This window comes from Homo sapiens, chromosome 13, assembly GCF_000001405.40.
Source record: "Homo sapiens chromosome 13, GRCh38.p14 Primary Assembly".
NCBI classification, from domain to species: domain Eukaryota; kingdom Metazoa; phylum Chordata; class Mammalia; order Primates; family Hominidae; genus Homo; species Homo sapiens.
Genome location: NC_000013.11, coordinates 100,417,131 through 100,432,323, shown reverse-complemented (window position 1 = coordinate 100,432,323; position 15,193 = coordinate 100,417,131). Strand labels below are relative to the sequence as shown.

The window sequence follows — 15,193 nt, the reverse complement described above, 5'->3', positions numbered from 1 at the left end:
CATCTTTTTATTTACAATTAATTGAGAATCACAGAAACCGCTTTTAAAGAATTTCGGGGTTGGAAAGGTGAGGTGGTGGCAAGGTAGTAAGGGAAGAGAAGCACGACTATCATTAAATTGTGCTGGCATAACGAGTTATCTGTTTGTTTGTTTATTTATTTATTTATTTATTTATTTTTGAGATGGAGTCTTGCTTTGTTGCCCAGGCTGGAGTGCAGGGGTCCAGCCTCTTGAGCAGCTGGGACTGCAGGTGTGCACCACCATCCCCGGTTAATATTTTGTATTTTCAGTAAAGACAGGGTTTCACCATGTTACAGGTCAGACTGGTCTGGTATCAAACGCCTTACCTCAGGTGATCCACCCGCCTCGGCCTCCCAAAGTGCTGGGATTACAGGCTTAAGCCACCACACCCGGCCTGGTATCTGTATTTTATTTTATTTATTATTATTATTTTTTTTGAGATGGAGTCTCACTCTGTCACCCAGGCTGGAGTGCAGTGGCGCGATCTCAGCTCACTGCAAGTTCTGCCTCCTGGGTTCACACCATTCTCCTGCCTCAGCCTCCCACGCAGCTGGGACTACAGGCGCCCGCCACCACACCCAGCTAATTTTTTGTATTTTTAGTGGAGATGGGGTTTCACTGTGTTAGCCAGGATGGTCTCGATCTCCTGACCTCGTGATCCACCCACCTCGGCCTCTCAAAGTGCTGGGATTACAGGCGTGAGCCACTCATACCGTGTACAAAAATCAATCCCATGAGGATTAAGTAGTTAACTTTGAAAAGCACAATTTAAAAAGGTTTAAAAGAAAATATAGGTATCTTTGTGAGCTTAGGAGTAGAACAAGATTATCTACACAAACGCAAAACACACAAACCATAAAGGAAAATATTGAAAATTCTGACATTAAATCTTGCCTTAAAACTTAACTTGGATAACTTAAAACAATAAAAACAGAAGCTACTTTATCAACACATACGACAAAAAGGAGCCATAACGCAGGAAGAACTTTTATGAGTCAATAAGAAAAAGATAATCCAATTTAAAAAGTGGGCAAAAGTCATGAGCAGATATTTTACAGAAGAGAAAACAAGAGAGCCAATAAATATATATTTTCAATGTTCATTGTCATACTAATCAGGGAAGTATACATTAAAACCATAATGAGATGCCATCTAAACCCACCAGTCAGGAAAAACCTAAGTAGTCTGGGAAGGCCAAGGGTTCACCAGGATGTGAAAAAAAATGTTAAGGGCACAGATTCCTTGGTTCAAATTCTGGCACTCCCATTTACTACCAGATGGGAAAGCAATTTAGCCTCTACAAGCTTCTGTTTTCCCAAATACAAAATGAGGGATAACACTAGTACGTACTTTATTGGGTTTTTGGGGGCATTCATACATACAAAGTGCTTAGAACAGTCAGTGCCGGGCATAATAAGTACAGAATAAGGTTAGTTCATTGTTCTCATTGTGACTATCATCTTCACTACTGATGGGCACATAAGCTGGTACAGCCACACAGAGAAACCCACCTGGCCTTGCCATGCAGGAATGAGAAAGCACAGGCCCCACAGCATGGCTGTTATACCGGCACATGACCTGGAGAACCTCCTATGTCAAGAGGAAACAGGAAGTAGGGTGTTCATACAAGCATCACTGTGACAACAAAATAAGGAAAATAACACAGATGTCTATTTAGAGGAGAATAAGTAATTGGTGGTAATATTAATATGATGTATGGAAGTAGATAAACTGCAGCTATAGGCAGCAACATGGGCCAGGCTCACAAACATCATGCTGGTGGGGAGAAGACAACTCCTGGAGGAACACAGAGAGGATGGGGGCAATTACAAGGTTCAAAAACAAGAGCAGCTCAACAAGATACTGCTCACAGTGTTGGTGTATTCATAAATATCCCTAAAGAAAAGCAAGGTAGTGATCAATTTAAAACTCATAATGGTGTTCTTCAGGGACACTGGAAAGGAGGATTTAATCAAGGAAGAATGATACAAATAGCACTGATAATGTTTTGGTTTTTTGTTTGTTTGTTTGTTTTTGAGACGGAGTTTCACTCTTGTTGCCCAGGCTGGAGTGCAATGGCGCGATCTCAGCTCACCACAACCCGGGTTCAAGGGATTCTCCTGCCTCAGCCTCCTGAGTAGCTGGGATTACAGGCATGCGCCACCATGCCTGGCTAATTTTGTATTTTTAGTAGAGACGGGGTTTCTCCACGTTGGTCAGGCTGGTCTCGAACTCCGAACCTCAGGTGATCTGCCTGCTTCGGCCTCCCAAAGGCTAGGATTACAGGCGTGAGCCACAGTGACCAGCCTGTTTTCTTTTTTTTAATCTAGATAGTGGGTAAACAGGTTTTCATTGGGTCATTCTTTAGCTTTTATATAGATATAATAAATATTTTTGGCTGGGTGTGATGGCTCACACCTGTAATCCCAGCACTTTAGGAGGCTGAGGCAGGTGGATGACCTGAGGTCAGGAGTTCGAGACCAGCCTGGCCAACATGGCGAAACCTCATCTCTACTAAAAATACAAAAATTAGCGAGGCATGGTAGTGCGTGTCTGTAATCCCAGCTACTCCAGAGGCTGAGGCAAGAGAATCGCTTGAACCCGAAAGACAGAGGTTGCAGTGAGCCAAGATCGTACCACTGCACTCCAGCCTGGGCAACAGAGGGAGGCTGTGTCTCAAAATAATAATAATACATATTATTTTATATTAAATGAGGTTTAATAATAAAATTTAATGATACAAGTTAATGATAAATAGTAATATTTAATACTATTTAAGAATATAAAGTTTATATGTATGCTCAAAAATCCAGAGAAAAAAGAATTGTAGTTATTACTTTAAAGTACCTACAGTTACTATAGTAATCAATTACTACAGTAATCAATTTCAAGTGATTACTGTAAAATCACTTGAAAAATGCCTTTGGTAATATTCATCCCTTATTTCTCAGAATAAACAATTGCAAAGAGACACACAAACACTTATAATTGCATTTCGTAGCTATCTGCTTGGAGGTGTTAAGCTGGAACTCTTGGAGCAATGCAGCCCAGGAAGCAAGCAGAGAGAGAAAAGGGGGAGTCAGGAATAGAATTTGGAGGTTTGCCCATGCTAACAGTGGTCAGAAGAGAAATCAGCAGATGACTGTAAAGCCACCAGTTCTTTCTCCTGTCACGCTTGCAGATCCCTTCTGCACACAGTGCCCTCATCCCCACAGCTGCTGAGACTTCTTACCTCCGAATCCCTAACATCTGCTGACTTCTCTCTTTGCCTCCAATCTTCACCTCATGCTTCTTCAAGCCACTCTCCACAAAGCAGCCAAAAACCAAAAAAACCTCGTAAGCTACAATTCTGTTCAATCATCACTTCCTTACTGAAAGCTCTTCCACGGGTCCCTACTGACCTAGGGATAAAGTAGAGCCTCTCCTATGTCCTTAATAAGGCTCATGTGACTCGGTTCCTACCCACCTTGCTGGGGCACACCACTCCTCAGCTCATTCTCTGACTACAAAGGTTTAAAGCAGAGGGTGTCCAAATGTGGCCCAGACCAGCAGCATTACCTGGGGGCTTGCCAGAAATGCAGACCTAGCCCAGACCTGCTAAATCAGAGTAAGCTATGGGTGGGTCCAACAACTTGAGTTTCCACAAGGCTTCTAGTTGATTCTGAAGCATATTAAAGTTTAAGCATCTCTGGTTTAAAGCATGAATGACAGGTAATTATAATTTGAAGAAGAATGTGATAGGAAAAATCGCAAAGTACTATAGCATAGTGGGGGAAAGCACACATGACTGCCACGGACCAAGTTTTTGCTCTGCTTCTTCCTAGCTTTGTGATGCCCAGGAAGTTACATAGCTTGCCTCAGCATCCTGCAATGCTTGATGGCAAGGATCCTACCTACAGCAAGACTGCTCGGATTTAAATCATGGATCTAGGCTGAGGGTGTGGGGGGGGTGGGGGTGGGGGTGGGGGGTAGGGGGGGTCGGGGAGGAGGCAGGGTTGCTTGAGCCCAGGAGTTCCAAACCAGCCTGGGCAACATAGTGAGGCCTCATCTCTACAAAATAAACAAAATTAGCTGGGTGTGGTGGCAGGCACACCTGTAGTCCCAGCTACCTGGGGGGCTCAGGTGGGAGGATCGCTGGAGCCTGGGAGGTCAAAGCTGCGGTGAACCCAGATTGTGCCATTGCACTCTAGCCTAGGTGACAGAGCGAGATCCTGTCTCATTTAAAAAGAAAAAAAAAAAATCATGGCTTTACCTCTTACTAGCTGGTGACCTTGAGTAAGTCACTTACTTTTCTCTGAGCCTCAGTTGTCTCATTTATAAAACTATAAATAGCACCTACTTCATACAATTGTGAAGATCAAAGAAGTTCATATCTGTACTATGCTTAAAACTACACCTGATAACACAGTAAGCACTGTGTGTTATTTATTATTACTACAATTGTTATTATCTTCATAGGGGCCACATTACATTTTTGGAAAGAGTCGATATAATGCTAATGCCTACAGAAAGTAAATAAAATCCATCCCCTTTCACAAGGAAAAACTCTCCTTACCTTTTTTTTTTTTTTAGGTAAACGACTGTTTTTCCTAGTACACCATTTACCTCTCTGAGTTTATTTCCTTCCAATTAGAGAGTACTTAACTTGATGCAACGACCTCTTCCTAAGAGTCAAGGGATCTCTCTTTAAGGGGTCACTTATTTCAGACACATTAATTCTTTTAGTAGCAAAGTACTTACAGGATTAAAAAGGGATTTACCGAACATGATCCCTACACTAGGGAAAATATTTTTGATTATTCTACATATGTATCCCTATTAATCTAGCTATAAATTCTACATGTAAAAGTGCCATCAAGACAACTATCTGCGCACTCACTGAAAAGGATGATGAAAGTAACACAATACAAAAAATTTGCATAATAGGAGTTTGTACCTCTTTCTTCTGACTACTGAGAGTTAACACTATGTCCCTCTGACAAACACTTGAGCCATAACATATTCGATGCACTGTACAGTCTATCGAACATAAACCAGTATAACAAAACCACAGTTTTTTGTTTGTTTGTTTTGTTTGTTTGTTTTGGAGACAGAGTCTTGTTCTGTTGCCCAGGCTGCAGTGCAATGGCGTGATCCTGGCTCACTGCAACCTCTGCTTCCCAGATTCAAGTGATTCTCCTGCCCTGGCCTCCCAAGTAGCTAGGAATACAGGCGCCCGCCACCACACCCGGCTAATTTTTGTATTTGTAGTGGAGACAGGGTTTCACTGTCTTTGGCCAGGCTGGTCTGGAACGCTTCACCTCAGGTGATCCGCCTGCCTTGGCCTCCCAAAGTGCTGGGATTACAGGCGTGAGCCACCGTGCCCAGACACCACAGTTTTTAAAGACATAATAATACATGGATCTAAGTAATGTGAAATTATGTAGTGATATTTTTTTCAAGAGTCTTAAACTATTTCAACTCATAATTTATACTGATATAATATTATATAAAGTTATATAATATGAGTTAAGTTATAAAATATGAGAAAAGACAGGAGTTAGAAAATTAAAAAAATGAGAAAAAATATACTGGGACAAGTCACAAAACCAAAGTCAAAATATAGGGCTTATTACCAAGAGTTCAAGGTTACTTGGAACCATAGAGATAATATATCAATTGAAACTGACTTAGAAATCAGTTCAGTCATCACATAGTTTTTGTGGATTCTGATGTCCACTATCCCGGTCTCTCATAGAGGTAGATAAGAATCAGGTATGGAGTAAGTAGTCTTAATCTGTGATTATCCTGATTTCTCAAGGTTTTTAAAACCAGTTTCCTGTGTAAAATCAAGTTAAGATGATTTTCATAAAAAAGAACAAAGAATGAGCATTTAATGCTATGGGTGGGGCTAGATTTTTATTAGCCTGTGATAGCCACATGTTCCATGATTTTTTTTTTTTTCCTAAAACGCTAAACCTCAAATATGAGGTAAGGTGAAGAATTTTGGCAGAATCTCTTTTCATAACTTTCTACTTTAAAATGGAAGTCACAGGTTACAAAAAATGTTCTATCGACTCTGGGTTCCAAGGCATCTCCTCAAGGCAGGACATTTTATATTGAGGCGAAAAGAAAGATTAATAAGTTAAGATTACTAAATTTTTAAAGGACATCAGTGAGCTGTGGAAAGTCAACCTGAATAACACAAGTTTTACTAGCCTAACACTACGTAATTTCAACTGCACAGAAAAGAAAGGTAACAAAGTAAGTTGTATTTTACAACTAAAAACCCACAGAGGAAAAAAAAAAACAGCTAATCTAGCATTTTTAGAAAAGCCTGCAGAATTCCTTGTTTACAACAAAGTACAATACATGAACCTTCTTGGATTGTCTGAAAAAAGAAAACATTAAATGCTCAGGTTAAAACTTAAGATCCTCTAAAATAAGAAAAGAAAAAGTTTTCGACTGTAAAAAGTATAAGGTGAATAAAATACAGCTTTTCCCTCCTATAGCTCTAAGTATTAGCCACACAGGTGCTGACAAGGATTCTGGACTTGAGGAGGCCCTCTAAGGAAATCCTTACAACACTCACCTGGACAGTCCTCTGAGTGCCATCAACGCTGACAGACAATAAGGGCGAAGCCAGGTTCCACGTGCTGGTCACATTTAGTTTCGACCCATCAACTTCCACCTGTTGTGACACCAAATAAGACCATTACCATGAAGAAAGACAGAAAACTGATCTCAAGTTCATTGCTGCATACAAAGCAGCAGCCATTTTAAACAGATGGCTCCCAAACAACCTGTCATGTTTACTGCTCCAGCCAAGAAAGACAGGGTCCAACAACAGCGTCTTCCCAGTCATCTCTGGGGAGAGGTGAAGGACCTGTGAACAGCTGCCTCCGGGTACTGAGGCTTCAAGTGATTTCCGTAAGTAACAAACAGCCTTCTAACTCGAAACCTATCTGGACATGCTACATTTACTGCAATTAGACAAGTAATGCATATAAATTCCAGTGACATCTTGCAACCCACACAACAGGGCTTGCATATAATATCCTCTCCAAGGACCAAGGAAGAACTTTTTCTGTGTTAATTTTAATGAAGGACTATGCATTGTTATCTTAATTAAACAGAAGCTTTAATTAGACAAAATTCTTTGGTGTTGAATATCAAAAGTCCATTCAAACTTTGCAAAGTTCTGTCATATTTCTGTCAATCATAAATGACTGATTTCATCCAGTCATCCTTCATGAATATGCAAAAAAAGACCCATAATCTTTCAAAACAGGGATACTCGTAAAAGAAAAAAAATAATTTCCAAATAAATATAAAAGTAATGGAAATTTAAAAATCATAGCTAATTTAAAATGAAAGAACTATTGGTTTTCTTCCTTTCACTCACTGATGCTTATTCCCTAACTCTTTAATATGAGAGGCTTACAGATGACATTATTATTATATGGTAGACAACCTAACAAGGTGATACTTAATCTTGCTCAAGTTTCCAGATAAACCTGCAGCAGAACTATGATATATGATCCCTAACAATTCCCCCACTATCACTTATTTCTCTTAAAAGATACTCATTAAAATCAGATTATCAGAGACTTCACTATTTCCTCTTCTGCTGGACCCTTGGGGATAGGGCGGGGGTGGCAGTGGACAAAGATTGCTGAAAACATTCTGACAAGTATAAGGTGCCCTAAAAATATCCAGGCAAGAGGTCTGCTTCTGGGACACAGTGTAGGGGAGGCTGCAGGCTTGCAGTGAAGCCCAGGGCTCAGTTTTGTGGCATTCTGAATATGGCGTGGCAGCAACAGCGCAGCATGGCTGGAGGGAGGGGCTGGGCAAATAACCCAAGTACATCGTGATAGGAATCCTGAAGTTCTGACCAGTGAAGGTCTGGGTCAGGATGAAGACCACACAGTATGGGGAACTCCATGATGACTGCAGGCAAATACAGGTGATCCTTGGAATCCATGGGAGGCGGGTTCCAGGAGCACCACCCCCGCCCCGCCCTGCAGATACCAAAATCCGGGGATGCTCCAAGTCCCTGATATAAAATGGTGTAGTATTTGCATCTAACCCAGGCACATTCTTCCATATATTGAATCATCTCTAGATTACCTATAATACCTTTGAATTATAATACCTAATACAATGTAAATGCTATCTAAATAGTTGTTATCCTCTATTGTTTAGGGAATAAAGATGGGGGGAAAAAAGGCAGTACCTATTCAGTACAGATCCAAATCTTTTCCTCCCCGCTCCCCCAAATATCTGCAGTTGGTTGGATCCACAGATGCAGAGCCCATGGGCCGACTGTAGTAGGTCTAAGGACAGGAGAAGCCTCCTCAAGGCTTTCAAAGCCTCAACAGCGAGAGATGTTACTCAGTGGTTACCCACCCAGGCCCTCGTAGCAAAGCCTCAGGAAGACTGCGTGTGAGTCTACGTTCTCCCCATGCCAGCGCCGCGAGGCAGATCTAAGCATCATTCCCAAAGGCCTCTCTCACTGCTCCCAGACCTCACCTCAGCAGAAGCTGGGGATAGAAGAAAACTGAAACACATTACCCCAAAGAGACTGTTTAAACCAACAGAGGCCAAGATCCTGTTTACTCACAAATTTTTCTTCCCACCATCCACTACTAAAGGTAGAGGGCCTCTGACAAAGATGATAGGTGATAGAAAATACACTACATTTCATCATCTACACAATGAGTCATGAGTAGAAATTTGCAACTTCCCTACACAACTGAAACAAGGAAGCTATCATGACTCCAAATCATAAACTGAAACCTATCTGCCAGTATAAGCGGGGCAAGGGATGTGTGGAAAGCCATCACAGGCCTTCTCAGGCTTCTAGCAATACACAGATACATAATCCCGAATAAGAGGTACAGTGATTCTAATGATGCTAGCATCCAAGGAGGGAATCTAGATGGAAGTATAGGCCAAAGGAGAAGTAGAGAATGTCTCTTTGAACCACGGGTTAATACCAGAGAAAGGTGGGCTGGCTGAACCGAAGAATCCTTGTTACCATGCCAGATCCACTGTGTACATGCAACCCTTCAGTCAAGGGTCACTGAAGGGGCAGATGTGGAGTGGAGGTGGCATTTCGTGATAGACTCCGACACGAAGAACCAGCCTACCCTTTCAAACTAAATAACAGATTTGGTGAGAAATGACTAAGTAACATGTCCAAAAAAAAGGCTGTAGCCTGCTTCACCTACCCTCCCGGCCTATTTCAACATAAACAACACTCAGAAAACAACCAATACTCGATGTCTGCATACAATTTGGAAAAAAAAAAAAAACTCAGAGAAAAAGGTAAATTAGTAGCATATAACACAAGAACTACTCAAAGAAACACAGGAAGAGTTCAGATAAATAGTTCTCCAAAGTCTCAAAGGCAACCATAGGAAACGTGACCCCTCTTAAAAAAATAAAAATAAAAAAAGAGCTCAAAGAAGAAAAACAAAGGTTCAAAGAAGAGATTATACAACAACAGAAGGAAATGAAAGTCAAGCTGATAGAACTCAGAAAAAAAATGGAGAGAAAAATAACATTATTGAGATAAAAGCCACATTAAGAAGCAACCAAAAATAGAATAAATGTGACTAAAAGAAAGATAAGGACTGAAGAAATCATATAAAATGAAATAGATAAGACTAACAATATAAAACCAATTTACTGAGAAGACAACAGATATGGAGGAGGAAGGGGGTTAGAAAGAATATGTAACTGTCCAAAGAGGCTCACAAAGCAAAAAGAACAAATGTACATTCAAAGATACATAACAGGATAAAACTTGTCAAAATAAGTAAAACCTGGAATTTGTGGATTGATTATGTTTATAGAACTTTAAGGCTAGAGAAAGAATTATGGCCAGGCATGGTGGCTCACGCCTGTAAGCCCAGCACTTTGGGAGGCCCAGGCAGGAGGACTGCTTGAAGCCAGGAGTTTGAAACCAGCCTGGGCAACAAAGTGAGACCCCATCTCTACAAAAAAAATTTTTTTTACTTAGCCAGGCATGATGGCCAGTGCCCGTAGTCTCAGCTACTCAGGAGTCTGAGGCAGGGGAGATTGCTTGAGCCCAGGCCTTCCAAGCTACACTGAACCATGATTTTGCCACTGCACTCCAGGCTGGACGACAGAGCAAAATGCTGTCAAAAAAAAAAAAAAAAAGAAAGAAAGAAAGAAAAGAAAGAAAGAAAGAAAGAAAGAAAGAAAGAAAGAAAGAAAGAAAGAAAAGAAAAGAGAAGAGAAAAGGAAAAGAAAGAAAAGAAGAGAATAAAAAGAAAGTATGGAGGTATTAAGTTAGAAATAAAAAATCATGGGTTGGGTGCAGTGGCTCACGCCTGTAATCCCAGCACTTTGGGAGGCCGAGGCGGGCGGATCACCTAAGGTCAGGAGATTGAGACCAGCCTGACCAACATGGTGAAACCTCGTCTCAACTAAAAAGACAAAAATTAGCCGGGCATGGTAGTGGGTGCCTGTAGTCCCAGCTACTCGGGAGGCTGAGGCAGGAGAATCGCTTGAACCTGGGAGGCAGAGGTTGCAGTGAGCTGAGATCGCGCCACCACACTCCAGCCTGCACGACAGAGCGGGACTCCATCTCAAAAAAAATAAAAAATAAGAAATCATGTACAAGAAAGGAAAAAAACTCAGGTCAGTCTAATTTCTCAAAAGCAACACAGATACAGAAGACCACACAGCAATATAGTCTAAGTACTAAAAAAAAAAGGAAATGTTGTCCCCCAATTTTACACCCAGCAAAGATTTCCTTAAAGTATATCAAATAAATACATATTCTGTAGAATGTAAAAACTTAGTGCCCCTTCTTTAAAAAAATGAGTCATCTCTATACATATTGATTTGAAACCATTTTCAAGAAAATACAGAATAGTGTATACAGTGTGCTATCATTTTTTAAGAAAAAAATAACTATACATGTGTGTTTTTAAATGCAAAGAGTATCTCTGGACAAATGCTTAAGAGCGACAGAATAGCTGAGGAACAGGTATGAAAGGGAGGCTTGTTTTTCCCCACAAATCCATTTGGACTTTTTGAACTTTGTACCATATATACATACAGTACATTAATTTTTTTTTTTTTTAAGCCTCACTCTGTGGACCAGGCTGCAGCACAGTCTCGCAATCTCAGCTCACTGCAACCTCCGTCCACCTCCCGGGTTCAAGCGATTCTCCTGTCTCAGCCTCCTGAGTAGCTGGAATTACAGGCGCCTGCCACCAGGCCCGGCTAATTTTTGCATTGTTAGTAGAGACGGTGTTTCACCATGTTGGCCAGGCTGGTTGCAAACTCCTGACCTCAGATGATTGGCCCGCCACGGCCTCCCAAAGTACTGGGATTACAGGCATGAGCCACTACATCCACTCTAAAGTTTTTTTTTCAAGTGAAGTGTGCTCATTTTCTCTGTCATTACAATATGCAATCAACAACCACTTCAGACCTTTCACTAGTAGGCACACAATAAATCGTAGCTGTTTTTTTTAAACTGCATTTGAGTTAACAGGTGGATACTAATTTCTATTTCTCTGGTTGTAGATTTACAGACTTCAACTACAACACCAAATTTTACAATGTGTTTCAGATAATCTCTCTTCCTCATCTGAAAGAGACCTGAACTAACAAGGTCAAATATCTCTGCTACATCTATAATTCTGTGGTTACAAAGCCCTTTTATTTCAGATGTATTTAGATGGTTAATGTCTTTGTTTTTTTGAGATAGGGCATCACTCCATCACCCAGGCTGGAGTGCAGTGGCATGATCATGGCTCACTGAGCCTTGACCTCCCAGGCTCAAGTAATCCTCCCACCTCAGCCTCCCGTGTAGCTGGGACTACAGGCACGAGCTACCACCTCCAGATTTATATATTTATTAATTTATTTTGGAGAGACAGGTTCTCACTGTGTTGCCAGGGCTGGTCCCGAATTCCTGGGCTCAAGCAGTCCTCCCACCTTGGTCTCCCAAAGTGCTGAGATTACAGACGTGAGCCACCATATCTGACCTCAGACATTTAATTTCTAATATGGCTATTTCCAATATTATAAAGTGAGTGTTTTGCTCACATACCTCTGTTTGAGGTTAGAACTTTTTGACATTTTGCCTTTAATTGACAATAAAAGCTAACAAATTAAATCAAATTCAGTGTGGGGATAAAAAGAAAAATAAGCCAAAAGTGAAGTGATAAATGACATAATATCCTGAGGCACAAGTAAAATCTGCTCCTTTCAAGGCAGACAATATTATCAAAATGTCTTAGCACTGTGAAAACACTGGAGTAGTTTAAATTATGCAAAAAACTCTGTATTTCATAAACTATCCAAAGACACAACGCTAGAGGTGTTTAGCAGCCATGCTAATGTAAACAAAGATTATATAATTTGCCCTGAAATTGACCAAGGACTCAAGTGCACCAAACTTACATTAATTATAACCCTGCCCCCTACTCTCAGCAGATGACTTCTTCTCTTTACCAAAATCGAAGCCATAGGCCCAAGTCCTTATTTTCTCGCCTAACCAGCCATGCTCTTTCCTTCACTCCCATCTCATGCCCTCTCTGCTTCTTAGTTAATCCTTTTAACTTCGCTGTTCTCCAGCTTTCAGTCTACACTGGCGTCTCGCCTCTGCTTTCAAACACATGCACGACTCCATAGCTCCCTAACTGTGTCTCTTCCTTTCTCTGACAGGTTCTAAAACAAGTTCTCTGCAGCTATTTTCTTACCATACACCTTTCCCCATAACCTTCTATAATCTGACTACTAAAACTGTATTGTGAAAAATCACAAATCTTCAGCAATTTCTTTTCTTTTCTTTTTTTTTTTTTTGAGACAAAGTCTCGCTCTGTTGCCCAGGCTAGAGTACAGTGGTACAATCTTGGCCCACTGCAGCCTCCGCCTCCCAGGTTCACGCAATTCTCCTACCTCAGCCTCCCAAGTAGCTGGGATTACAGGCGCCCACCACCACACCTGGCTAATTTTTGTATTTTTAGTAGAGATGGGGTTTCACCATGTTGGCCAGGCTGGTCTCGAACTTCTGACCTCAAGTGATCCACCCACCTCGGCCTCCCAAAGTGCTGGGATTACAGGCGTGAGCCATCACACCCAGCCAATTTCTATAGCCTCTTCTGAATTCTCATTATTCTTTACTTGTCAGCAGGAAGAAGGACCTCTCTGAGGAGGTGATCTTGAGCAAAGACTGGAAGGGTGAGTAGGAATTAAGTATGCTAGTGATGGGTGTGTGGGAATATTCTAGAAGGAATATCATATTTAAAAAAAAAAAGAAAGAAAAAAACCCTGGGGTGAGAAAGAGCTAAGCTTCTTTGAAACCCATGTGGATGGAGCAGAGAGAAGGGGAGGCCGGCTCTTGAAGAACAGGGACAGGAGTGGGAAACATGAAGCAGTTCCACCTGCAGAGTGCCATTGTCTGCTGTCCTTTTTTTTCTTCTTTTTTCTTTTTTTTTTTTGAGGTGGAGTCTCACTCTCTTGCCCAGGCTGAAGTACGATGGCATGATCTTGGCTCACTACAACCTCCACTGCCTGGGTTCCAATGATTCTCCCACCTCAGCCTCCCGAGTAGTTGGGATTACAGGTGTACACCACCATGCCCGGCTAATATTTTGTATTTTTAGTAGAGACGGGGTTTCACCATGTTGGCCAGGCTGGTCTCGAACTCCTGATCTCTGCCCACCTCGGCCTCCCAAAGTGCTGCGATTACAGGTGTGAGCCACACTGTCCATTTTTGAAAGATCATGCAGGCTATAGCTTGGACAATGAATTAGAGGAAATAAAACTAAAAGTCATGGTGATCAGATCTAGAGCCCTGGTGGTATAGAGAAGAGGGACATTCAGAAGTAGTGTCAGCTGCAGCAGGAGCGTGGGACATGTGAATACAGTGGTGAAGACAGGAAGGAATCACTGAGGATAAGGGAGGAGAAGTTATCAGAGAAACAGCAACCCTTCTGCCCAGTGTAGGATGCTCAGCTGGCCCTGACCAGCAGACGCATGTTAACTGTGCCCTTGGTATGGGACGTTCACCAGCCATGGTAAGGTGCTCATGCGCAGGCATAGGGAAGGTGGAGGCAGAGTTCCTCTAAGTTTGAGACTGATGGAAGAATGAAGGAGTGAGCAGTTAAGGGTATTCATGAGTGAGTGACTATAATGCCAGGCCAGGGATTGGATAAAGGATGTAAAAACAGGAGTGGTGTCTGTGGATGGAGAGAAAATACAGGGAATAATGATTGTATGGAGACAGACAGACAGACCAGGAACTGGCTGCTGGTCTTCACGTGCAGGGAGAGGGATACAGGGAAGGGGAGCTGAAGGTTGCCAAGAGGAAGATGAGGTAGTGAAGACTGATGATGTGATTTCAAAAAAGAAAGGGCTTACAAGAAAGAGCGGAGCAGTCGTCCTGAATGACACAAGGAGGAAAGTAATCCCACCTCCTGTCTTGGAGGTGCGTGTGGTATGAGAACAAAACTACCCTAAGGTTTTAGTTAGGGTAAGTAATTAGTGGAACATTCCAGAAAAGGCTGATACAAAAGGCTGTTGGTCTGAAAGTGGGCAATACAGGGGGCACAGTGGAAGGGGCTGGGAGGCAGTGGAGAGATGACAGAGAAGGGTAGAGGACATAGAATTAGAAATAATGGAGGCTGGAGTGGCTCTCAAATACCGCAAATTCTCTCCGTCTCCACCAATAACATCTTAGACCAAACCCCGGCCACTGCATCTCTCAGGCAGACTGCCACGATACTCTGGCCTCCCCACATACATCTTCCATATCTCCAACTGGTTCTCCCCACTACAGCCAGAATAATCTTTGTAAAGATGAAACCAATCATTCACTAAACAGAGATGAAGGGGAAATAAACACATGGAAGTGCCGCCTGTTTTTGAAAAGTGTAAACTCCAAAAAAGACATGGAGCACGGAGTGTTTGGTATAAAAACATCATATGCCTCACCATTCCACCGTCACTTAAAGGCTAAATGCTAATTTAAACTATTGGCATTATAAATTTGAATTAACCAGGACAAGGCTTTGGTGGGTACAGTTCATGAAATTCATCTCAGTGTACTCTATTTTCTGAAAACTTTCCCCAGCTTAACCAAACATATCAGTTTGGTTGAAAATTATTTATAATTAGAATACACATGACAGGCCGGGCACGG

General features: G+C 41.8%; 1 protein-coding gene across 33 annotated transcripts in view; it reads right to left on the bottom strand.

Moving 5' to 3' along the window:
• Positions 1-15,193, bottom strand: part of PCCA (propionyl-CoA carboxylase subunit alpha) — a 441,343-nt gene that overhangs the window by 98,112 nt on the left and 328,038 nt on the right. For 23 of the 33 annotated variants that reach the window (NR_148030.2, NR_148027.2, NR_148028.2 and 20 more), the window contains one exon: positions 6,593-6,691. Coding sequence is in view for 27 of the 33 variants with exons in the window: in XM_017020609.2 (XP_016876098.1) it covers positions 6,593-6,691 (99 nt within the window). In the remaining 6 variants the exon portion in view is untranslated. Of the gene's footprint in view, positions 1-1,532; positions 1,612-6,592; positions 6,692-15,193 lie in introns of those variants that run through there. The other 10 variants (XR_007063681.1, XM_017020613.2, XM_017020612.2 and 7 more) reach the window with 1 other exon arrangement.